Source organism: Homo sapiens, chromosome 18 (assembly GCF_000001405.40).
Source record: "Homo sapiens chromosome 18, GRCh38.p14 Primary Assembly".
NCBI classification, from domain to species: Eukaryota; Metazoa; Chordata; class Mammalia; order Primates; family Hominidae; genus Homo; species Homo sapiens.
In genome coordinates, this window is record NC_000018.10 from 75,264,481 (window position 1) to 75,290,023 (window position 25,543).

The 25,543-nt window shown below is 47.0% G+C and overlaps 1 protein-coding gene across 2 annotated transcripts in view, besides 4 other annotated features; it reads left to right on the forward strand.

The window, feature by feature from the left end:
- The window catches only part of TSHZ1 (teashirt zinc finger homeobox 1), a 79,148-nt gene extending 53,684 nt beyond the window's left edge, over positions 1-25,464 (forward strand). For both annotated transcript variants that reach the window (NM_001308210.2, NM_005786.6), the window contains exon 2: positions 20,968-25,464. In NM_001308210.2, coding sequence (NP_001295139.1) covers positions 20,968-24,161 — 3,194 coding nt within the window. In that variant the 3' untranslated portion in view covers positions 24,162-25,464. The remainder of the gene's footprint in view (positions 1-20,967) is intronic.
- Positions 9,068-9,569: an enhancer, noted in NCBI's record as "H3K4me1 hESC enhancer chr18:72985503-72986004 (GRCh37/hg19 assembly coordinates)". NCBI's record gives its function as "activates a minimal SCP1, AML or CMV promoter by ChIP-STARR-seq in primed H9 embryonic stem cells {active_cell/tissue: H9 hESC(primed)}" and the evidence as "EXISTENCE:reporter gene assay evidence [ECO:0000049][PMID:30033119]".
- Positions 9,570-10,069: an enhancer, noted in NCBI's record as "H3K4me1 hESC enhancer chr18:72986005-72986504 (GRCh37/hg19 assembly coordinates)". NCBI's record gives its function as "activates a minimal SCP1, AML or CMV promoter by ChIP-STARR-seq in primed H9 embryonic stem cells {active_cell/tissue: H9 hESC(primed)}" and the evidence as "EXISTENCE:reporter gene assay evidence [ECO:0000049][PMID:30033119]".
- Positions 14,550-15,051: an enhancer, noted in NCBI's record as "H3K4me1 hESC enhancer chr18:72990985-72991486 (GRCh37/hg19 assembly coordinates)". NCBI's record gives its function as "activates a minimal SCP1, AML or CMV promoter by ChIP-STARR-seq in primed H9 embryonic stem cells {active_cell/tissue: H9 hESC(primed)}" and the evidence as "EXISTENCE:reporter gene assay evidence [ECO:0000049][PMID:30033119]".
- Positions 22,214-22,508: a silencer, noted in NCBI's record as "tiled region #9768; HepG2 Repressive non-DNase unmatched - State 15:Elon". NCBI's record gives its function as "represses a minimal TATA promoter and a strong SV40 promoter by Sharpr-MPRA in HepG2 cells {active_cell/tissue: HepG2}" and the evidence as "EXISTENCE:reporter gene assay evidence [ECO:0000049][PMID:27701403]".

Genomic DNA, 25,543 nt, shown 5'->3' on the forward strand with positions numbered 1-25,543 from the left:
CAGATTTTTTTTTTTTTTTTTTTAAGTGTAGGAGAAGGAGAAGAAAGGGAAAGGGCTATTTAAAAGGAATTGCACTCTGATACATAGGTAGTTAGCAACTTAATTCTGAGCCCGAGGTGATTGTGCTGTGAGGTGGAGTTCTTTGGCAGGGTCTCCTGAATCAGAAGCATGATACCTGGGCCAACTGAAGGCCAGCTACTGCGTTCAAGGGAAGGAACTGTGTAGATACGGGATTATGGAAGCGAGTCAGGATAAGCTTATCAGGGTATGCATACTTAAATGTCTTTTTAAAAGTTTATTCTTAAACTTTAGTGTCAAATCTGTTATTTTAGAAGGAATTTTTTGACATTGAGGAGACAAACATTTCTAGTTATGAATTCTAGGCATTTTTTACTCAATTACGCTTTAGGCAAAGATGTACTATCCACAGCTAAAATAAATTTCTACTTTCTGTTTCTTCTCACTTCTCACAAGAGTTCAGCACAAAACAAGTGTTATTAAGAGAGATTTTTTGGCTTAAATTGGTACGTTAAATATGCTTCTGTTTTAAAATATTTTAATTTCATAGAGCAATTTTACATGCAGAATGTGATCCCACTTGTTCAAATCTTGGACCGTGGTAGAGAAATGTTTTGGAAAGCAGCCCACTTTGACCTCTTCTTTCCCTTTTATCTCGACATCTGTGAGTTTTAAAGCAAAAAAAGAAAAAAGACTTTTAAGAGAAATTTGTCTTTGAGTGGAATGTTTTCTTGTAGTTCACTGAGGTGGGATTCCTTTGGCTCGTCATGTATGTGTGCTTGAGTAAGTAGAAACACTTTAAGAAAAGTAAACTGTGCTTTTCTACTGTCATATTTGATTTGGGCTGCGTCCTGATGGTTGTTTGAAGCTAACATGAAATGCGATGCCTGCCTGACCCATTTTAGCAACCCATTATCATAATTTCACTGTCGTATGGCCGCTGAGTTAATGTACTTACAAATGACAGAGAAAGTGTGTTACATGACCTTAGGGTTTTCAAAAATTAAATGACGTCGTAGGTCGTATTTCAAAGAATAGCTAAGGAGAATGGTTTTCTTTGCTGCATAAAGTGTCACTGTGCATAGCAACAGGATATTGTATTTCTTTTTTATTACGCAAAAATGTGAAGCTTTTAAACTCCTAGATTCCCCACATAAAATTTAATATTGGGGTAGAGAATGAAACATCCAGTGGATAAATCTGCTTCTCCCCCATCTCATTCCCTCTCACTTTCTAGACGAGACCCCTTCCAAGCTCAGAAATGCAGAAATGCTTTGTCATTTTCTTGTCCGATGATGAATTTACTATTTCCCCCCCTTACTCGAATCTCATGAATTCCCACCTAAAAGGCAATAAAGTACTTATATTTACTGAAATACACTTTTCTAGGATTGCTTAACAATACACCGTCTTTTTTCTTGTCGGATTTGGGAATCAGTTTACAAAAGTGTTCTTTGGAAAGAACCGAGCCTTCTAGCCTGAGGAAACTCTTAATTAAAGCAAATGGTATCAACATTGTATTACTGCACAGAGACCTGCACTGCTCACCTTTTTTGGTGTCCTGAGCCTAGACCGCAGAGGTCCCCATCCCCGGGTGAGTGATCGATGCTGTCCCGTTGGACAAGGTTTACTAGAAGGGTGACAGACCACAGCCCATGATACACATGTGGTGTGGGAGGAGACTTGCAGCCCGGTGCTAGGGCCTCACCCTGTCCTCACACTTAGCTGTCGAAGTCAACTCATCTGTTCTAGAGTTCTCTTTCCAAGTTAGGAATAGATCAAACAGTAGCTCTTTGAGGAAAGCCTCTGACTTCAATGCAGTGGATTGATCATAGGTTGTAGATAATACTAGGCCTCCAAGTAAAAACAAGAATTCACAGAGTACCCTTTCATTGAGTTCGTGTGCAGATAACATAGGTCCCCATGTAATGAGGCAGGAGATTCGAGGAGGGGTGGGTGTGAGCTCCTTACAGACCTTGGCTAGAATATTCATGAACAGAAATCCAACTTGTATGTAGAAGTAATAGTAATTAATGCAGTCCTCAGGAAGCACAACAGAGGATAGGAAAACAGGTCACAGTCTTATATTCTCTTGAAACATAAGGATGTCTTTTGAAAGCCAAAAAGTGGCACTAAAATTGAACAGCTTAAATTTTCTTTCACCTACCACCTGCAGACTGCAATTGATGGTGCCTGAGTCAAGAACTGTAGTTGTGGGCTCCTATAGATCACCTGCAGGAGCTGGGCGCTGAGTCCTGGCGGGGACTCCCTGGGACTGTGTTCAGTGCAATTTGTAGCCTTACAAATGTCAGATCTTGTTACGCCCCTGGCAGTATTGACATAAAGAATATTATTTAAAGTTTCTAAAATGTGATGAAGCTTCTAAATTTAATCTGCACTGTATTATGCACCAAAATTAAATTGCAGGGAAAAAAGATGTGGTTGCAGTGTGTGCTTAGAAATGACTTGTCATAATGAAATTTCTTTTACCCAAACAATTAAGAGCATTTTCAAAATTTTCTGACATAGCCAAAAAGTTTTTATTTCTGTTATAGACTTAGTAGCTCTGAAAATTGCTTTATTTCCTTGATTTCAATGGACACAAATTGCATGGCTCTATTTTTTCTTAAAATGAATATACACCATGATTACAGAAATACTAAAATGTGTCCTCTGGGGGAAAACCTCATTTTACATTGCAGCTCTGCTCATAATCCTGCGAAAGCTGGTGTGAAGCCGTCTTTTTCCGAGTTGAAGAAATGATGCCAACCAAAAACAGGTTGATGCTGCATCTTGGACACATAGGATAGTCACAGAACAGACAGACCCCATCTCACCCATAGACCGTGGAGTCAGGCAGCCACACTGTGTGTGGGCTTAGTGGTAAGGGTTTCTTCAGAGGTTTGGCATATGGAATAAGAACCAGAGATGGGATTCAAGGAGATGGAACGCTGCTCATTGCTTCCAGAGCGTAAACAGTGGTGGGGCTGCGCCAGTGGGTCCTGAAACACATCACGGGCAATAGGCTTCGAGTGTCTCGAATTAGGAGGAGACATTAGGAGGAGAGAGGATAAAGGAGAGGGAAGGAGTTCAGTTCTTTCCTAAATGGAGTGAATAAGCAGGTACTGTTAAATGATAGCCGTTTCTCACAGAAATGATGCTGGGTATAAGAAATGCTTCTGAAAAGAGGAAGAGAGACCTTTCGTATGCATATTCAGTTCTGACACATGCTTGAGTATGAGAAAGATGGTGAATGTTTTGCACAAGTGGAGATGCATAAAATCGGGCATTCTGAAACAATAGCAGCACAGTATCCTGTATGACATTTTACATCGTCTCCTCGACACAGGGCAGACAGCACTACACCTCATGACTGCAACTTCTAAATGAATCTCAGGGACAAGGTCAGAATTTCCCCTCCCCTCTGAGTCAGCTTCCTTAAGAAGAAGTGGGTTCGAAGGGGGTTATTAACAATATAAATCGCCCTTCCTGTCAGTCAAATGCTCAGAAATGCAGGACATGATACTGGCCGTTTTGGTGACAGAATATAAATCACCAAAGATTAAATTATTAGATAATTTGGAAACTTAACAGTTTGCATTTTGCACTTCCAATTGTTTTGCTGACTTGCACTTTTCTTGGCTGTCCAGGGTTTTATTAACCGTCTTTAAGACATCTATCACCTCCTTCCTCTTCATTTTCCAATGGGCAGATTTTCCCAGGAAGGAGAGTTGCAGCACTGATGCCTGCAGTCGCTGCTCCAGAAAGATTGCTGTATTTTCATTGACATGCCGTGCATTACCATAATTGGCTTTTCTACATGATAGGAGAGAGGAAATAATAATGTCATTTTATTTACAGCCAGAGTGTCGCTTTATGAGACTTCTCCAAGTTTCTGCCATGCTGTGTAGGTCAAATGACATCTTTTGATCAGTCCTGTCCAAAGACATCAAAGCTGAGTGGCATGTAATGGAGACCTAGTGACAAACCAAATCTAGAAAAGAAATAAGACTGCCAGTTTCCCATTAAACTGCCTGCTAAACAGCGCAGCTTCCCCGTGTCGGCTACAAAACCACTCTGACCACCTAAATCAGGGGAATGAAAGGAGGCTGAATTGGACATTAGTACTGCAAATGACTGCGGTGATTGCCACGACTTCCCTCCTCCCCCTCCCCAAAAAATCAGCGAGCAAACCATGCGAGTTACAGTGAGACTGCTCTGTGCCCATTCATTTCCCTCCTGCCATTTGCTGGTTTTCTGATCTGGTTTATTTAGGTTTGACATCAGCCAAATGGTGTAGCGCGATGTCTCTGACAGATATTCTTACTGATTTAAAGGGAGGCACAACTCAGGAAAGATGGATCTTCTGAGACAGGATTTCAGAGTGGCTGTTTTTCCCTTTTCCACCCCATTTTCCTCTCTTTATGATTCCAGTTGATGTGTTGTTCCTATTCACAGTCAAATCATTAGAGCCTTCAGAACTTGGGAAGAACTGTGTTTGATTGACGACAGTGAGGCTTCATGTTGACTGCCACATGGGCTAGGTGGCCAGCATACTGGAAATACGATTTTTAAAAAAGTCTCCTGAAACACGTATTTTATGCTAGAGATTGATAAAAGAAGTATTTCTGCTCTAATACAGCAGGGTTCACCTTCCCAGGTGATTGGGCCACATGGAAATTGACATCACATGTATGGAAAAAAGCCACAGCCTCAGTGCATTTATCTGCATCAGTTTGCTTTGGATTACATGCAGCGTCTGCTCATTCTGTAATTCACTATCCAGCCTGTAGTTATGGAACAGCTACTTTGTTCCAGGCACCATGTTAGCTGCCAGGATCCAAGGTCCACTACGATGTGGTTCTGTGCTCAAGGAGACCTGGCCCAGCAGGAAGACAGATCACTAGACCCGTGGTTACCTCCCCTGTGCTATGATTAAGTGGCTGCAGGGTGTGGGGGAATCATGAGCTGGGGGAAGTTGGGGGAGGGCCCTGAAGGCTGGCAGGTGGCAATGCTGGAGCCTGTTTGTCGAGGGGCAGCTGTCGGGTGGAGCAGAGCTGACTCCACAGAGGGAGCCTGGCTGGTGTGGTTGGAAACAGACGTTTTTGATCCTCTTATTTTTCTATTGTAGTAAAATGTACAAAATTGATACGATATATAAAATTATATTAACTCTTATTAAGCGTACAGTTCAGTGGCATTAAATACATTTGCATTGCTGTGTAGCCATCACCACCCCATCCATTCCCAGAACTTTTTCATCTTCTCAAACTAAACTGAAACTCGGTACCCATTGAACAGTACCCCTCGTTCCCAGCCCCCCTGGCTCCCAGCAGCCACCGTTCTACCTTCTGTCTCTGTGATGAAGCCTGAGTCGACGTGGCTGGAAACAGATTCCGACAGGGCTTTGTAGCCATCCCATAAATGGCAGTCCTGAAAATAGTGTCCTCTGTAGCCTGTCATAGCGGATACATGTGACCAGAACTTTTAGGGAGAACTACCCAAGACCAGTTTTGTTGACTTTCATGTAGACAAGAACCTGATTTTGCAAACAGCCTATTCCGAAATTGGAATCAGTTTTAAACTCATGCCACTTACAGTTGCTGATAGAGATGGCCCATTGCGGCATTATGATTGTGTGTCAGGTTGTGTGTCCACCCCCGGCTGTGGGGTGGACCATCTAGGTAAAGCCCCTGCTCCTTGTCTTACTGATGGCATGGCCTGGGGCACCTCACTTAACCTCTGTGCCTCAGTTTCCTCATATGGGAATAGAGAGTGAAATAGGATTTCCCCTTGTAGTGTCAGTGAGGAGCTAACACAGTTAATACATGTAGAGTACTTACGATGGTGGCTGGTCCAGAGGAAGGGTTCAACAGATATTAACTTGTTATTATTCAATGACATTTTAATGCAAAGCATAACGCTGGTTGAGCAGATATTCTGTGGGTATGAAATGTTTATCCAAGAACAAATAATTTTTTTCTCTCAAATATAGTCCTCCCAAATAAATTACAAGTGTGCTGGGAAAATACCCTTCTCTATCCAGGTGGATCATTATCCAAGAATATATTTGCTTCCTATTTGAGATTAGATTTCAATATTGCCACTGGAAAAAAATTGCTTCTGATGATTGGAGTGGGCTTCTTACCCTTTCTACAGAGAGTATATTTGCATGTGTATACTGTTTTCTTTCAGGCTACTGTCGTGAGTATTTAGGAACTGTTAGCATCAAATATCCTTTTTTCCTACTCTGACTTGACTTTAATAACTTCCACTGTTTAGCCCACTCCCATGGTGTAGTTTAGATTTTTTTAATGTATTTTCTTTTTTTCTGAATCTTTTCTTTCCCCGTCTGTTTTCATTAAGTGAAGCACACTCAACATTGTTCTCCAAGCATTTTCATGAGCAGAACCAAAGGAGGCCGAAGGGAAAGAGAGAACCACGGAAATGAAGTTAAAAGTTGGGAGTTGAGGACCTGTGCTTGCTTCAGCTGGTCTCAGTAAGAGACTTTCCTGCAGAAACAAATGGGATAGAATTTGTTTTGTTTCTTATGCCCCATGAATGCATCATTTATTTTAGAAATTGTGTTACCCAAACCTTGTGCATTCTCCAGGAATCCCACTTATAGTCTGTGTCTAGAGACGTGGTTGCAGCGTGGACTCAGGGACCTCACAGGCAGCCGATCAGAAGAAATAGGAGAAAATATCCTTAGACTAGGAATTGTTTATACTAAATTTTTGAAAATGCAAGTAATGACTAGCATAAGGGCCCTGCGTATCACCTCGTTAAGTGGGCATCCCTCCAGCCTCTCCTTCGGATAGATCAAGGAGGAATACTGTGAAGAATGCTTGAGGCTTGAACCCAGACTAGGACTGAAGCACCTTCTTCCATCTTTTTAGCTGGGAAACTTTATCTCTCGCTTCACTCAAGGATGCAAATGAAGAGTGAAATCCACTCACCTGCAGAATTCACTTCTCTGGGTGCCCCAGGCACCCTGGGCCTGTGTCTTCCTGAGCCCCATCCCTGGTGTGCTCAATAATGCAGCAGGATTTTGCTCCACCAAAGTGTCACCTGTCTAGGTGAGTTGTGCCCGTGCCTATCTGAAGTGACAGCCATCTTTGAGCCCCCGCGTCTCTAACTGACTTCTCTTTTATCATTCATGTTGGGAAGGTAGCATTTTCGACAAGGTTGTTTCCTCTTCCCCCTCTTCTTTTTTCTTGCCGCTCCCCCCTCCCCGCTTCCTGGTCCCCTCCCCACCCCCTTAACGCACCTGATCAAAACATTATCACTGACAAAGGTTTCTCTCTCCAAATTAAATGAGTCCAACTAGCCTGGGAATTTCCACGAAGAAAGAAAGTGAAATGCTGATGTGCGAAGTTAATGAATCTGGTAACAGAGAGAACATTATTGAGCCCGGATAATATGATCTAGCTGCCTTCCTTCTCCGCTCGCTTCCTGTAAAGAATGTATGGAAGTCAGTTATGTGGCGTGATTCTAACATCTGTCCTACCCCATAATGGTAATTTGTATAAGTAATGGAAACAGGTTAAATACTTCCATTCCAATGTTGCCAGCAGGGATGAAAATGAACATTTCAATGAAATCATCTCGACAGAGCAGAGAGGGGAGGGGGCATAGACCGATTCATCTCCACTCCCTTTGGTGATGGGAGCCCTAATGAGAATGCTCGGATGTATAGTTTATCAGATAGAAGAGGAAGAGCACGCAGGTCTGAGAGATGAGAATCCTGCAGAACTGCGCCGGCACGCGAGGCGCCTTGGTCTCCTTTGCAGACCTTTAGCTAATAACGTGCTCTTTTCATTCTAAGGGAGGATGAGAGGGAAAGAGGGGAGGAGGGCCAGGGATCTGTGTGCACCCCTCTGATGGGCTGCCTGCCAGGCTCATCTTCAGCTGGGCAAAACCACAGGGCGATTCTACTAGATTTCTTAGGACTCTGCTAAAACTTAAAGGGAGGAAGGAGAACTGGTATTTTCCTCATTTCTTTGTAATTGGAAATAATCCTCTTTCAGAGTGGCCTTCTCTTTGCCTAGAGAGTCACTTTACTTCTTTAAGTTGTTAATGTGAAGAAGAGCCATTTCACTTGGCTTGCTAGTGCTATTTAAAAAGAATTTAAGTTGGAACTCAATTCCTTGTCACTGTATCCCTATACTTGTACTCTCCTTCTAGAGAGAATATCAGGTCATCTAGCAAGGGGAATACGTGTCCCATAGCGTCGTTGTCAATCCAAGTATGTTAATGTGGGTTGTTCAACATATTTTCATTCTAAAATGCTGCAATTGAACATTGTATTTTCCAGTATTTCTACCTTTCTCCTATGTAGACAGTGTTATTTACTATCCAGATGAGTTAGAAATGGAAACACCTAGTCAGCTGGCCTGTCATATTAAATGCTAATATCCCAATGATTCCAAACATCCAAATTTGGGAACATTGCAAAAGCTGAGCACCTTTTATGAAGGGGACACACCTTCTGCTTTTCATCAGGATATTTTGCCACCGAGGAGGAAGAGATGGGGTACAGGGATGTTCCATAGTGCGTGTGGGTATTTGGGGTGTCTGCTAGATTTTTCAGCATAGATTTGAAGCTGACTTTTAGAAAGCAGAGCATGTTCAGGGAAGCCTTTCTTCTATTGTTGCTTCAGCTCTTTAGCAAAGCACCCACACTTGTTCATCTATCCACAGAGCAGCGATAACAGTGAGGCAGCGTTCTGGGAGTGTTCGCCTCTTATGGAATATAAAACAGGATGGTTTAAGAAAACACCTTTATTTTGTGCATAATTGGGGTACAGATTAAGATGCAAGTTCGAGGAGAAAACAAACCTAATTGCTCAGAGCCAGTGTTATTAAGACTCGAGGGAATTTGCAACTTCACCACATTTAGCCATTAAAAAACAAATACAGCTGTCACTTCTCACCCATCCCTAAAAATGACTGTTGACTAGAGTGAGTCTTGTTTTCTTTAAAGAAACAAAGATGTTTTAAACAATGTTGGGCTACAAATTGAGAAACATAATTTTTATCTGATTTGCTAAAGGTATGATGTTTGTGCCTCATATAATTACAATTTGAGATGAAAATGTTTTTCAGACGGTGTATGTGTGTTTACGTTGTAAACCGTCAGCTCACACATTGTTGGTGTCATATGAGGCTCTAACAGGGACCGTATACATTGCCTTATGTCCACTCACATTAGAACACACAGAATTTCATGTTGCTCAGGATGACAGCATATCTTCAGGCACACATTGGCATCCAGAAGGCACATTTTATGACAACAAATATTAACAAGATTTAATTAAAGAATGAAGTCTAACCATCAGATCCAGTTGTCCCATTTCCATTTTGGGAATGGTAGGGCCTCTATAATTTTAAATGTTTTATTCACACCCATGCACATACACACTCACCTGCACACACTCACACCTGTGTGCGCACACGCGTGCACTCTCGCACACCCACACCCACCCACACATGCATGCGCGTGAAGGCCGGCGGCGCCTCCTCCTGGGCTGCTGGTGCTTGCTGGTTCATACGGTTCCTTGCGGTCTGTAGGGTGCTGTGCGTGTCCCCCCGATGGCAGGACACACTGTACACGCTCACACTGTCACATTCTGCACCATCGTGCTAGGCTCAGGAAGGGTGGGGGAGTGATGGCAAAGCTGTTTTGACACAAAAAGAAATAGCAAAAATGATGATCTGGAGTCTTTGTTTTATTTGATGGGGAAAAATGTCATTTATTTCTATACGTAATTGTAAAAGAAGAATTTCATACTGCAGTTACCATTTTCAAGCTTACTCATTCATCAGATTTTCATGAGGTGGAGGTGGGGTGATGGTGGGGGGCTGGTGACGCCAACGGTGAGGGTGTAGTGGAGAAAATGCAGAGGTGGTGACTATTTTCTGTGATTCAGTGGCCTCTCTTATAAAAATCTTTTAGTCTAAAAGATTGTATTCATTCCCCTGGTAAAGGATATTCTGATAGGTTAATCACTAGAAATAAGCATTTCTACAAATATCATAATATATTCCAGTACATTTGTACCCATAAGAACTAAAGATTGTTAGAAAACTGTAGCTTATAGTGAAAACAAAAGATTTTTGGAAAATTGTAGCTTATAATGAAAACAAAGGATTGTCACAAATAATTAGCTAAACTTGTAAGTTGTTATGTCTCTCTATATCTTTGTCTGTCTGTCTCTCTCTCTGCCAAAGTAATTTTTTTTAAAAACGGCATCTTGTAAAGCAATTATGAGAATTCACTGATAATAGTAAAAATAAACCTAATTATTAAGATAAAGAATTTTATTTTCTGTCATGATAGTGTTGATATAACTTTTGATTCAGACACCAAATATTGTTACTAATAGGATTTAAGTAAAGTCAGGTGTCATGTTACCCTCTGTTTGGTTTCCAGTCAAGTATAGAGACAATTATGCAGGATGTGTTAGCTCATGGTTCATCACACTGATAAATAATTTCTGTCCGTAGCCACTTTTAAAGATAAAAGTTCTCCTAACCCTGTGCTGGATGTTAGTGCTAGTCTCCCATCAGTAGCAGCACAGGTGCCTGGTACACGTCCTTGCCACTTGCCTACATCCATGCCGCGACGGCCTAGAGGCTGGCATTCCCATTTCTCTTCTGTTCCTGTGTGTTTATGGGAATAAGCTACTGGCTTTTAAAATGGAGACATATTCTGAGACATAAGCCCTTTGTGGGTTTTGGAGACTGTGGAAGACCCCTTCACTCCTTGATTTCTCACTCCCATCCTCTGAGACCCTTGGAAAGGCCTGTAGAAGTTCACCTTTTTGGAATAAACTTTGTGTTAAAGTATTGCAAGAGTACAGCGTGCAGTGCTGTGAAGGTAACTGGGTTATCAGGCAGCAGTAGATTTGGCGACGTTTGTTTGTAGTTCTTGGTGATGGCTGGCAGCATGTAGTCAGAGAACGAGCCAGTACTTAATCTGCGTTACGTTTCTTTACACTCATTTCAGCCATTTGAAGAGGTATGCCATGCATAAGTCTCCTCTCTGGATTTCTAAATGTTTCTCATTGGGGCGAGCCCTACCCTGGCTGATGAAAGTCCTTTTTTCGTTTCAGGGGGTCAGATAGTACCAAGTTGGAACCTGGTGTTGGCTAATATTGGGTTTGTAGACCCGGAGTCATCAGACTGCTTCAGGGTAGGATTTATCTTTCCCCAGACGTGGGGGTAAAAACTGAAATCGGCTGATGTTTTGAGTGCAGGTCATTGGGTATGCAGGTCTTGGGGATGACTAGCTTGGTTTCTGGAGTAAGAGAACATTTCCACCATGTGTTAACATGCACTCCAGTAGTCAGCAAACAGCCACGTGCTCTCTCAGGTGCATAGAAGTGTCACTTGCTTTTTGCTGTTCTCACTTTATTTTAACTTCTTTTAATTTTTTAAGATTCTCATATAATGTCCTCTTTTTCTTCCTGACACCACTGAAAATCAAAGTTTTTCATCTTTTACATACGGTTTAAGCTCTGATTTGTGCTACTTGTTAAGTACATTGTTGACAAACTCTAGACAAAAGATTAACACCTAAAGTGCTTATTGGGAACAGCAAGAGGGTCTTAAATTAGTTTTCTTATTCCCCACTTAACTTGAAATTGAATTCAGGGGCAGTGAGAGAAAGAAGAAATTATGTTTGTTTTAAAACAGTTACCTGTGGATTCCTAATTAAAATTAGAATTGGGAAAAGCCATTAGGTCATTTTATTTGCAGACTCTGAAATTCTTAAAAATTGTTTCTATTGTTTTTTTTTTTCTATCATGTCAGAGCAAAAGTAGCCTTTCAGCTTTGCTTGGCAGGGTGTCAGTCTTCCTGCAAGGAATCAGAACGATGTTAGTAAATTAGTGCGTATATTGTATTTTTACCTTCTTTCCTGATGAGGAAGGGCCACACTCTGCCTGGGTCTGCTCTCTGTGCATTTTTTTGTTTCCCAGCGTATTCTAACTTTCATCAAAACCACCTGCTCTCTCCATAACGAAGGTGACGTTACTTTATGAGTGATCAATTATAACTTTGGAAGAAAGTCTGTTTCGTAAGATTCTACAATGAATCGAAGCTGTACATTCATCACTTAGGTGTGGGGAGGCCCCTTTTGTGAATTGGCCCCTTGGAGTAAATGTATTTTGATATAATGGCCATCTGTTCATGGGTATCACATTTGCCAGTCTGCAAAATAGTTTGATTTAGATAAACATGTAATTTGGTAAGATTATATAGTTTCACCAGGTGGCAATACAATAGTGAAATTTGGTATTTACTGTAAGGCAGTCACCAAGCAGGGACTGAAGACCTGCGTTTGTGTTTGTCACTTTTGAACATCCATTCGTCTTTCACAGCCAGCTCTCACTTACGTGTGCTAATGAGGAAAAGAGAGCTTGGGTAGACAGTTTCCTGACCTCATGGCTGTCATTTGTGTCCACCACCTCCTCCGTCAGGCCTCCAAAGAGCTCTTCACAAGGAACAGCATTTCTGCCTGGTGTGGGTTTCCCCACCTCTCTCTTCCTTCCTCTGTTCTTTGGCAGACGCTCTAATCATCAGCAAAGCCTCTGAAAGGCAGGCACGGGGAAAAGAAGAACAAGAAGGGCCCAGCCGGTCCATGGCCCGAATTTCACATCTGACTGTCGGAGCACCATCTACACAACAATTAAGACGGATGCTGGCTCAGCTTCAGTCTTAACTGAAGGGATGGGCTTGGGCTGGGATGGGCATATCATCATTTTGTTCCCATTGTTCCCATTTATTTGAGTGGCATGAAGCTAAGCAGGTTCCCATAGCCACAGGACGATGGCACATCTGTGTGCAGGATGTTTTCTGATTCATTCTGTGAGTCTGTGGGGTGTGAGGAGGAGGAGGAGGAGGAGCAGGCGTCCTCGTTCCTTCAGGCTGTTGTAGCAGAGCACCGTAGACTGTGTGGCTGTGTGTGGACTGTGAGCAACAGACTTGTATTACTCACAGTTCTGGGCTTGGGAGGTGGGAGATCAAGGCAGCAGCAGATCTGGGAGCTGGTGAGGAGGGCCTGCCTCCTGTGTGTACGTAGATGGTGTCATCTCACTGTGTCGTCATGTGGTAGAAGGGGCAAGCCAGCTCTCTGGAGCCTTTTAAAAAATAAGGGCACTCATGCTGTTCTTGAGGGCTCTTTCCTGGTGACCTCCTAAAGGCCCTACCTCCTTCTGCCATTACTGTGGGGGGTTAGATTTCAACAGAGGAATTCGAGGGCGGGGATACAAACATTCAGACCGCAGCAGCTGACAAGCACACAGTTGGGCCACATACTGATGGTGATGATTCTGTCATTGCCATAAATACTTCCTATAACCCCAAAAGACATTGTTCCAATGGGGACAGTGGTTGTTCCAGTGGGGAAACCGAGGTCCCAAGGAGCGAGTGAGTGTATCGGGTCACACTGTGTGTATGTATCTGAGCCTGGGCTCCTACCATGCTCTCCAGACATCAAATCCGTACCTTCCATCTCTCTCTCCTTCTGCCACGCTAAGGGGGTGGGTGGGGGGATCTGTTCTACTAAAGAAACCACAGCAATGGCCACGTTAGTGTAAGCCCCATAGAGGCGAACCACTGGGGTGTCAGTCCCACCCCAGTTTACTCTGTCTTTTCAGGCCCAGGCTCCTGGGGAGCACCCCTTTGGATCACCCCTGCACACATCCAGGGTGGATTAGTGGACCTTGCTGTGTGTGACAGGTATAGCCTGGGGGTGGGTTGGAGGGGGGCTGGCTTCCCAAAGTGATTTGGCACATTCCTCCCTGATACAGACGTAGCAAAATCCAAGCACTCCTTCCTTGCCTAGTACGGAGGCCAAGGTGCTGGGTTGCTCCTGTTTGGAGGCACCTGGGTTCTGGGTTGGAATTTCTCCTATCTCAGGCTTTGTCCCGTGACTCCTGGCCGCCTTCTCCCCAGGTCCTAAACTCTAAATGAAACTCTGTTGATTTTCAGTCCTTCTGAGTGATTCTGGCCCTGGGATCTGGTGCTCTCTGCCTGCTCCCCAGTTTTGGAAGGGTACGGGCCCTTGTTGGGGGCCTGTGGGGGCAGAAGAACCAGAAGACTCAGCGCACCGTGAAAGACCGGGGGTGGAGGGAGGCAGAGGCTGCTTGGAGCCTGGCCTGCTGCTGCCTGGTTGAGCCTTGGGAGGGTCCTTGGCCACTCAGCTGTGACAGGGGAGATCAGAAGCGCAGGTCCTCCAGTGCTGGCTGCTGGAGGTGGTCGTCCGGAGGTGGTGCTGTGGCTCCAGTTACTATTATTATTTGTATTATTATTGAGTCCTTGGAACTAAGCCAGGCCTCGAAGGGTCTTGGAATGATGCGAGGAAGAGGGTAAGGTGAGGCCGGCAGTCAGTCACAGGTTTAATATGGAGTCTTTCATGGGGCGCCCTCCTGCCCACCTCCGTCTGTGGGGTCGTTGAGTCCCTTGCACCCACTAAGTCTGTGGCTGTCCCAAAGACCGTTCCCTTCCATGGTCACAAGAGCTTCAGACAAGAGGCCACTCTGACCAGCACTTCAGCCTCAGGGCCCCTGGCCTGGGGTGGTGGGAGAATGGTGAGGATGTGCTTTATTCGAGGGGGACAGGAGAGCTGCTTGGGGTCAGGAGGGCGGGTTCGGGCTAGTGAGAAATGGTGCCCAGTGATGTGGGGTGGAAGGGAGGCCGTCCTCCCAGCTGTCTTGAAGGTTTATGCTTCCTCGCATCTCTTGTAAGTTAGAGGGGAAAAGTTTAGCTAGTTAAAAAAATAGATATGATGAGCTAAAAGAACATAGTAGAATAGTAAAATAGCTGAAAAATAGAAGATGATCAGGATTCAATAAACTGGAAGAGTATATGATAAAAGTATAAATGCCAGAAGGTTCAGAGGGCAAGGACAGCAGTGAGCAAACCCCATCAGCTAAGGCCTAGCATGGTGACAACTGTGTGTGGGTGAGCCGCCGGCCCTCCTGTTTGTCAGACACTGCAGCCCCTCCCATGGGAAGGCTGGATGGAGAACCCCCTGCAGTGGCTGTGGAATTGAGGAGCTGGAGCAGGAGGACGGTGGGAGGCGGCCACTGTGGTTGGGGACCTGGGGGACCTGGGGCAGAGCAGCCCAGGACAGCCTCTCTGGCAGTGCGGGGCAGGAGCTCACTCATGTTCTCAACCCAGACACCATCTGCATCCCTGATGGTTCCAAATCCCCTTTCATTTTTAACATTAAAACACAGTAACAATTAATAAAGCCTTTCACAACATTCCTGCCCCGGGCTGGGCCCTGCCATTCTCCGTGCTCCCCAGTTCTCGGGATCTGACTGCTGGCTGTGGCTGTGGCTGGTAGACGTTCCGTGAAAGTTTGCTTCTAGCGAATTTATTCCAGTAATGGTGTTCAATGGCTAGTCCATGTTGGCTGAACTGAAAATATTGAAGATTTCAAAAATACAGATATTCGTGAAGAACCACTTCATTCAATGATAAATAACTTGTGTATTTATTATCTAGATAGAAAAACACTGTAACATTCTTTGAAAAGGATTTTCTCTTTGTACTGTGTATATAATTTTGTCTTCTGCTTTTTTCATTTAATGATTTTCTCCATGTCATTAAAACATACTTTCTCATGTTTGAAGGATACTGCATCCTGGGAATAAACACTAGTTCATGTAACTACTCCTTATTGTTGAAGATTTAGACCGTGGCAAGTTTTATGTGTGTAAAAGGACATCTTGTATAAGGGACATCTTTGTGCATGAAGCTTTTTCTGCATTTCATATTAACTTCTTAGGCTAACTTCAAAAAATAAAATGATTGGGCTAAAGAGCATCAATGTTTTAACATTTCTCTCCCTTTACTCTTTTTCTTTGAGATTCTCTCATTTATAACACTGTGTCTGGCACATAATGGCTGTTCTAAATACTTAATACAGAGTTACTTTTGGTCATTCATTCATTCAAAAACATTTACTCCATATCTTCTCTGGCATTTAGATGTTAATGAGACAAAAGAAAATAACTTGATCCCGATAGTGGCAAAGGGGAAAGACCAGGGCTGGGAGTCAGTGACTCGCTTTCAAATCATGTTTCCATCATTTGTTTCCTGTGTTACTTTGGGGAAGTCGGTCAACTTCCCCAAGACTCTGTTTTCTTTCCTGTGGAAAAGGTGTTTCAGTGATAACTTAGCTTAAAGGGTTGTGAGATTAAATGAAGCAATGGGATGAAAATACTCAACCCAGAGGCGCAGGAGCCTGTGCCGTGTGAGCTGAGTGAAAGAAGTCACAGCTCTATGAGGAGGACAGACAGGTAACAGCTCCAGATTCTTCCAGGAGTGGTGAATTCCGTGAGGGGATTGAGAGGGTGGCATAAGGAGATGACCTTTGAGCCTCCCTGGAGGGATGAGGGAGGGCCCAGTAGCTCACACCAGGCAGAGAGTCGGGGAGGGCTGGCATCCAGACTGGGCACTCCCCTGCAGGGGAAGGGCTGCCTGGGACCAGATAGATAGAGCGGGCTGGGCACAGAGGGCTGGGCACAGGCGGGGCAGCGGTGAGGGTCCAGACGCCCTGCCTGGGACACGCAGCTTCAGCAAAGGCTTGCACTCAGGGTTGTCGGGAGCACAGCGTCTGCTGGAAGGGAGAATGTCACGGACCAGGAGTGGAGCGAGGTCATCTGGGGACGTTGGAAGGCTCTGGCCACAGCTGGTCATCAGTGCGGGGGGCCAGTTTGGATGCGGGGCCTGAGGACCAGGAGGCTTTGAGGATGGCGCTGCTTTTCTGCCTCGGATACTCTCGTTTGGGGTTATTCGGTAACGTCTGAATCTGGAGATTCAGAAGGAGGAGAAAGTGTGCTGTTGTTTTGAGGAGGAGGGTGCTGGAGAGGGCGGTGGGGTGTCATTTTGTTTGCACACAACGTAGGTGTGATGTGGAGCACCCGTGTCACATTAGATCTGTGGCAGAACAGTGGGGCTCCTTCCACGGGCCCTACATGGGGCCAGGCCCTGAAAGCACCATGGGGGTGGCATGACAGGCGTCCTCCCTGATGGGCCTGTGTCTGGCAGGTGTGCAGGGGTGCTCATGGCTGTGGTCGGCACAGGCCCTGGGGTTGTGGAGAAGGTGAGATTGGCCAGAGAGAGGCTGCAGTAAGAACGGGCAAGAGCAGGAGGCAGACCTGGGGATGCGGCAGCTCAGAACGGGGAGCGGGTAGCGGTCACCGAGGGTCTGGAGACGAGGGAGAGGGCCACATGCTGCTCATGGGTGCAACCGGGTGGGGAGTGAGAAGTTGCCTCCAGATGGCATCTGGAAGGGGGGCATGCTAGGTGCGGGCAGGGAGAGCCCGAACCTGTGGGGGCCCAGCCTTCACCCTGGTCCACACGGGGCTCCCTGCCTTCCAAAAGTGTCCCTCACCTACCCGGTCAGAGGCTGCCTGATCACCCTGCTTTGCTTCTTCCCTGGGACATGAGTCCCCGTCCCTAGGGCAGGGACTTTATGGACCCCCTCCTTCGACGTCCGCACTCCCTGGAGTCCACACAGGGCCGTGGACATCTGCGCAAGGAAATGGCTTGCTGGGAAGATGACTTCTTAGGAGGGCCTTCTCGTTCTGTGGATCTGTGAGGTCCAATCTGTTCTGACACACATTGGCGATGAGATACATTGTAGCTCAGCCTAGGAACTTCCCGGGTGCAGAATGGACTGTCTTGGAGCGTGGTCTGGACAACGCTCTGTGCCTGCTGGGAGCATGAGGGTGCAGCATGGTGTGGGAAGAGGCCATCACCATGTGAGATGCCGGGCCAGGCCCTGAGACGCAGCCCTGACTCCGGACCCTCATCCTTTGTGGGCACCTGCTCCAAGCAAGGGGATGAGGATTGGTCAGTGTTGAACACACCTAGAGGCATGAGAGTAAGTTTCCCATTTCTGTGTTTTCAGTGTTGAGAGGAAAGCCTGCCAAGGACAGAATTGTGTCCCCGTCATTCATATGTGGAAGACCTGACTCCCATTGTGGCTGTATTTGGAGAAGGGGCCTTTAGGAAGTAATTAACATTAAATGCGGTCACAGGGCCGTCGTCCAACAGAGGTGGCCTTAAAAGAAGTGGAAGAGCTCTCTCTTTCCACCTGCTGGAAGGAAGAGCCATTCAGGGAGAGAGCTGCCATCCTCAAGCCAGGGAGAGCCCTCACCAGAAACCAAACCCTGCCAGACCTTAACCTGGGACTTCCAGTCTCCAGGACTGGGAGAAAGGAAGTTCTGTTGGTCAAGCCATATCCGCATACGGTATGTGGATATGGTAGCCCAAGCTGACGAACACAAAGTCACTTATTAGCACACACAGGTTGGCCGCCTGCTGTGGGGTGGGCCATGGGAGGGCTGGTTTAGCCTGTGCAGCAGCCTTCAGGCACCTGTGGCCGGGAGCAGAGGCACACAGAGCAGTGCGCCAGCAGTGACGGGCTCCCCGAACTGAGCAGATCCAAGTCAAGCTAAACGTTTCCTTTGCATTAGTGGCCATGAAACTCCCTTTCACAAAGATGGGTTGACGAAAGCCGTGAGGCCGTTTCCTATAGTCGATCCTGATAGAAGGGCCTCCCGCACACAGTGGGAGGGGCCTGGGGCCAAGGCCAGCACATGCTCAGGCCTGCCGACATCTTAAACCTGGGCCTTCTGCCTCCCCTGGGCGTTGCCCTGCCCAGCACATCCTGCAGCCTTCAGAGTCACCCTCTGAATCCACAGAGGAGCTGCACCTTGTAGCCCAAGCCAACATGGCCCAGGCCAGGCTGGTTCAAAGGTGATGAGTCTGACCAGTGGTTCTTAAAGTGGGGTCCCTGGGTCCTAGCAGTGAACCCTCAGAACTGGGCCATCCTAAACCTTTAATAATTACAGGCTAATGACAATGTGCCTGAACTTGGCAATTATCTTTTAATTTTATGAGCGTTATATTTTACGGGAGAGTCATAGAATCATCTAGAACATTCCCCACATGTTGATGCCCGTAGTTGAGGCCTGGGGTCTTACATGATTGGTTATTTTCCACACTCACAGTACAGTGTGAACAGGATTGTGATTCCTGGCTTTGCTGCTTTTCCACATACCTCCATGAAATGCGTGAACACAGGTGCGCAGATTGTCGTGTGCAGAAAAGGGCAGTGTGTGCAAGCACTCGGGATGGCCTGAACTAGAAGATTCTCCACATGACCGATTCAGTCGTCTCTCATTGTGTGTGTGTGTGTGCGTGTGCTTGTGTGTACACATGTGATTATGCGTGTGCCTGTGAGTGCTGGCTGCTGCTAGAATCTGAAGCCCTGCATTTGCGGGTTTTGAGGCTCTCACACTGCTCCCTGCTGCCCCTGGCATCCTCCCTTTGGGCGGCCAAGATGTTTTCTGTCCCTCCCAGCAGTCCTCCCTGAAAACGTCTGTGCTCCTTGTCGTGTTCCCTCAGGCCCTGGCTCTGATGATGTCATCATGAATGATGATATTTAATGAGACACCCCTCTCAGGTCAGATGAATGCATTTTAATAGGGATTTTCTGCAAAATATCTGAACCCCAAATACCCCAAGTTGTTGATGGAACTGTAGTCCAGCTAGTTGTTGCCTCGAGACGGGAAAAGTAAGTAAAAGTGCCTTGGTCAAAGAAGCTGAGGCAGTGTTCCTTGCAGTAGTCTCCCCTTGGGAGTTAGGAAGGTGTGTTGCATAGTGAAGGATCTGACATGTCCTGCAGTCACAAGTCCAGGTTTCATCTCGGTTTCTCTGCCTTCCAGCCTCATCCATGGGACAACTTCCATATCCTGGAGGCCCCTCTGGGAAACGCTGCCTTCAGCCCATGAAGTCGCTCCGCTGTGCAGTCGTGGGCCTGTAGTAGGCAGCTGGAGCGTGGACCGTTGGGCTTTTGTAATTAAACAGCTTTTATTGTGATAAAATATTTATAATGTATAAGTGACCATTTTAACCATTTTAAGTGCACAGTTTCATGGCGTTAAGAACGTTCATATTGATGTGCAGCCATCACCACCCTCCATCTCCAGAACTTTCTCGTCTTCCCAGATGGAAACTCTGTCCCCATCCCCTCCTTCTCCTGGCACACGCCACCACTCTGCTTTCTTTTTCTATGAATGTGGCAACTCTAGGGCCCTCACGTGAGGTGAGCCATGCAGTACATGTCCTCTTGTGTCTGGCTGCCTTCACCGAGCACTATGCCCTCGAGGTGCGTCCGCGCTGCAGTGCGTGTCAGAACTCCCTTTCCAAGCCTGAGTGTGGACGGGCCACACCGCGTTCATCCCTCCAACTGTCACTGGACCTTTTGGTGCCTTCCAGCTTTTGGCTGCAGTCAATGAGGCTGCTCTGGGCCTTGGTGAACAACCGTGGCTTTTGCCGTCTGGCAGCCCCATGCGGGTGGCGCTTTGCTCTGCCAGGCAGGAGATTGGCGGTGCCATGTTGGTGCTTTTGGTGAAGACCAGAGTGTTTTCATTGCTTGCCATTGAGGAGTGTTTTTACTTATGGAAACGATATACTGTCTGTGAATATCCTGCTCTAAAAATTGATAACCAGGTCCTGCCCGATGGGTGTTTACAAATATTTGCCATATGGAAGTCATGAGGGGACTCCTGGGTCACTTACAGAGGGAACAGCCTATAGGAGGGGTACTTGGCAGGTGGTGGCTGGAGTCCCAAGTTCCTGCCCTTCCCACCAGGCTGCAAGGGTCAAACTGACATCTTTGGGACGAGCACAGGACATCATCCTCCAGCTCAGTCCCCTTTGCTAAAGACACACTCAGGAGGGGACAGCACCTTTTGAAACCTAACTCCTGCAAAGGGGTAGATATGTAAACTTGGGGTAGCCTTGTGTCCTGGGGGCTAGGCTGACAAATATCTTTTTAAAGATCATCTAACTGCTGGGGAGGCTGTCTCTTTGAAGATGATTTACTTCTTCTAACTGGGTTTCATTTTTCTCTCCTAGCTTATGTTCCTGAGGAAGAATTGAAGGCAGCAGAAATAGATGAAGAGCACGTGGAGGATGACGGGCTGTCTTTGGACATTCAGGAAAGTGAGTACATGTGCAATGAAGAGACGGAGATCAAAGAGGCGCAGAGCTACCAGAACTCCCCAGTCAGCTCTGCGACTAACCAGGACGCCGGCTACGGGTCGCCCTTCAGTGAGAGCAGCGACCAGCTAGCCCATTTCAAAGGCTCTTCCTCTCGAGAAGAGAAGGAGGATCCGCAGTGTCCCGACAGCGTCTCGTACCCCCAGGACAGCCTGGCACAGATCAAAGCTGTGTATGCAAACTTGTTCTCCGAGTCCTGCTGGTCCAGCTTAGCTCTGGATTTAAAGAAGTCGGGTTCCACCACCAGCACCAACGATGCCAGCCAGAAGGAGAGCTCCGCCCCCACCCCCACACCCCCCACCTGCCCCGTCAGCACCACTGGCCCCACCACGAGCACGCCCAGCACCAGCTGCAGCTCCAGCACCAGCCACAGCAGTACCACCAGTACCAGCAGCAGCTCCGGGTACGACTGGCACCAGGCTGCACTGGCCAAGACGCTGCAGCAGACGTCCTCGTATGGGCTGCTTCCTGAGCCCAGCCTGTTCAGCACCGTGCAGCTCTACCGCCAGAACAACAAGCTCTACGGCTCCGTCTTCACGGGCGCCAGCAAGTTCCGGTGCAAAGACTGCAGTGCCGCGTACGACACGCTGGTGGAACTGACGGTGCACATGAACGAGACAGGCCACTACCGTGACGACAACAGGGACAAGGACTCCGAGAAGACCAAGAGGTGGTCCAAGCCCAGGAAGCGCTCCCTGATGGAGATGGAGGGGAAGGAGGATGCCCAGAAGGTGCTGAAGTGCATGTACTGTGGACACTCCTTTGAGTCCTTGCAGGACCTCAGCGTCCACATGATCAAAACCAAGCATTACCAGAAAGTGCCTCTGAAGGAGCCAGTGCCAGCCATCACCAAACTGGTCCCCTCCACCAAAAAGCGGGCGCTTCAGGACCTGGCGCCCCCCTGCTCCCCTGAGCCAGCAGGAATGGCCGCAGAGGTGGCCCTGAGTGAGTCAGCCAAGGATCAGAAAGCAGCGAACCCGTACGTCACGCCCAATAACCGCTATGGCTACCAGAATGGCGCCAGCTACACCTGGCAGTTTGAGGCCCGCAAGGCGCAGATCCTCAAGTGCATGGAGTGTGGCAGCTCCCACGACACGCTGCAGCAGCTCACCGCCCACATGATGGTCACCGGGCACTTCCTGAAAGTGACCACCTCGGCTTCTAAGAAGGGCAAGCAGTTGGTGCTGGACCCTGTGGTGGAAGAGAAGATCCAGTCCATCCCACTACCGCCCACCACCCACACGCGGCTGCCGGCCTCCAGCATCAAAAAGCAGCCCGACTCTCCCGCGGGGTCCACGACTTCTGAAGAAAAGAAAGAGCCAGAGAAGGAGAAGCCGCCTGTGGCTGGCGACGCGGAGAAGATCAAGGAGGAGAGTGAGGACAGCTTGGAGAAATTTGAGCCCAGCACCCTGTACCCGTACCTGCGTGAGGAGGACCTGGACGACAGCCCCAAGGGAGGGCTGGACATTCTCAAGTCCCTGGAGAATACCGTCTCCACGGCCATTAGCAAAGCTCAGAATGGTGCGCCCTCATGGGGTGGCTACCCCAGCATCCATGCAGCCTACCAGCTCCCGGGCACCGTGAAGCCACTGCCGGCGGCCGTGCAGAGCGTGCAGGTGCAGCCGTCCTATGCTGGCGGCGTGAAGTCGCTGTCTTCCGCCGAGCACAACGCCCTCCTGCACTCCCCAGGGAGCCTCACGCCCCCACCGCACAAGAGCAACGTGTCTGCCATGGAGGAGCTGGTGGAGAAGGTCACGGGCAAGGTCAACATCAAGAAGGAGGAGAGACCCCCTGAGAAGGAGAAGAGCTCCCTGGCCAAGGCTGCGTCCCCCATAGCAAAAGAGAATAAAGATTTCCCGAAAACGGAGGAAGTCAGCGGCAAACCACAGAAGAAGGGCCCTGAGGCCGAGACTGGGAAGGCCAAAAAGGAGGGACCGCTGGACGTTCACACCCCAAATGGCACAGAGCCTCTCAAAGCAAAGGTCACCAACGGCTGTAACAACCTGGGGATCATCATGGACCACTCACCGGAGCCTTCCTTCATCAACCCGCTGAGCGCTTTGCAGTCCATCATGAACACCCACCTGGGCAAGGTGTCCAAGCCCGTGAGTCCCTCGCTGGACCCGCTGGCGATGCTGTACAAGATCAGCAACAGCATGCTGGACAAGCCGGTGTACCCCGCCACCCCTGTGAAGCAGGCCGATGCCATCGACCGCTACTATTATGAAAACAGCGACCAGCCCATTGACTTAACCAAGTCCAAGAACAAGCCGCTGGTGTCCAGCGTGGCTGATTCGGTGGCATCACCTCTGCGGGAGAGCGCACTCATGGACATCTCCGACATGGTGAAAAACCTCACAGGCCGCCTGACGCCCAAGTCCTCCACGCCCTCCACAGTTTCAGAGAAGTCCGATGCTGATGGCAGCAGCTTTGAGGAGGCGTTGGACGAGCTGTCACCGGTCCACAAGAGGAAGGGCCGGCAGTCCAACTGGAACCCGCAGCACCTTCTCATCCTGCAGGCCCAGTTCGCCTCGAGCTTGCGGGAGACCACAGAGGGCAAGTACATCATGTCGGACTTGGGCCCGCAGGAGAGGGTGCACATCTCGAAGTTTACTGGGCTCTCCATGACCACCATCAGCCACTGGCTGGCCAATGTGAAGTACCAGTTGAGGAGGACAGGGGGAACGAAATTCCTAAAGAACCTGGACACAGGGCATCCTGTTTTCTTTTGCAACGATTGTGCCTCTCAGTTCAGAACTGCTTCTACATACATAAGTCATTTGGAGACACACTTGGGCTTCAGCCTGAAGGATCTCTCCAAGCTGCCACTCAATCAGATTCAAGAACAGCAGAATGTTTCGAAAGTCCTCACCAACAAAACTCTGGGCCCACTGGGGGCCACCGAGGAAGACTTGGGCTCCACATTCCAATGTAAGCTCTGCAACCGGACTTTTGCGAGCAAGCACGCAGTCAAACTGCACCTTAGTAAGACCCACGGCAAGTCTCCCGAGGACCACCTGATCTATGTGACTGAGTTGGAGAAACAGTAGCGTCCAGGTATGCAAGAGACCGCGGAACATTGCACTAAACGTCGTCGAGCTGCACTAGGCCTGGCCTGAGCCTCTGAAATCAGTCTTTCCTTTGTTGCTGGCCCGCCTCTCTGGACCTTGGTTTTCTTACACATATTTTGTATATTTATATGCTCTCTGTCCGATCTGTGCATGTTATTTTTCTTTTTCCGTGAGTCAAAGTCTGACCTTTATTTTCAACATCTGTTCTTGGTGTTAAGCTATCTTTTGTAGGAAATAGTGGGGCACACTACTCAGAGACATTATTTAGCAGTAAAGAAAGACACAAATAACAATGATAAAAAGACATCCTAAAATGGTGAAGTTGCCATGACAATAAAGGTCATAGAACCTGGTAGTGTCAAATTTAACCCTTTGAGGACTGTAATTGCATTTCTGTGCCTTTCACTTGAAAAAAAAAAAAGAAGAAAAAAAGGCTTAAAGGCATTTCATTCAGATCAAAAGCTGTGTCAGACACAAAACTTATTTAATAATTAAAAAATGAGCTTTTATATGCAGAACTGGTTTGTGAGGAAACATGCATGCAGCTGTGGGAAGATAGAAAGCTGTCTAGGACTCACGGGGTTCGGAAGCCACACCTCTACATGTCTAAAACAAAAAACAACAACAACAGATACCCCACTCGCCACTATGCCCAAACCCTCTGGATGCTGAAAAATGCCACTTTCGGCAAAAAAAAAAGTATGCAAGCTATTATTTAAAAATGTGTAAAAATGCTATTTCTTTTTTCCTGTAAAATATTGCAGTTTATAGTTATTTACAAATGTAAGCTTTGGTACAAGCTGACCTTTCTATAGCGTGCTGCATTGGTAAATGAAAAAAAATGGGGCAAACGTTGGAGTCCTTTCCTTGTAAATTGCCAGCATCAGCTTAAAAACTCCTGTATGTTACATATCGTACCATTTTAATCTCTTCAACTTTCTTTGTACCTTCTGGCTGTATGCTTTCTCTTTTAACTTTTTATATTGTCATTTTATATTAAATTTCTGTGTATATAATGTAAAACCACAATTTTTGAATAAAATTTAGTTCCTGCAGCTTGATTTAAATAGAGGACTTTTACTGGCACCTGCATCTCTCCAGATGCATGTACTCAGAGGGACTGTCAGACAAAAATAAATACATAAAAACAAAGCAAGCAATGCACTATTAATTATACATTTTGATGTTCTATCATTAATATTGTACAGTACATTTTGGTTCACACAATTAAATCCACTGTTTTCTCAGATGTAAAATAAACCCACATGCAGTTCTTGATTTACACGGATTGTCATGTCGTCATTATTTTGCCTTTGAGATGTTATTTCAGCAACAAGAGGTATTGCTTATGCAATCAACCA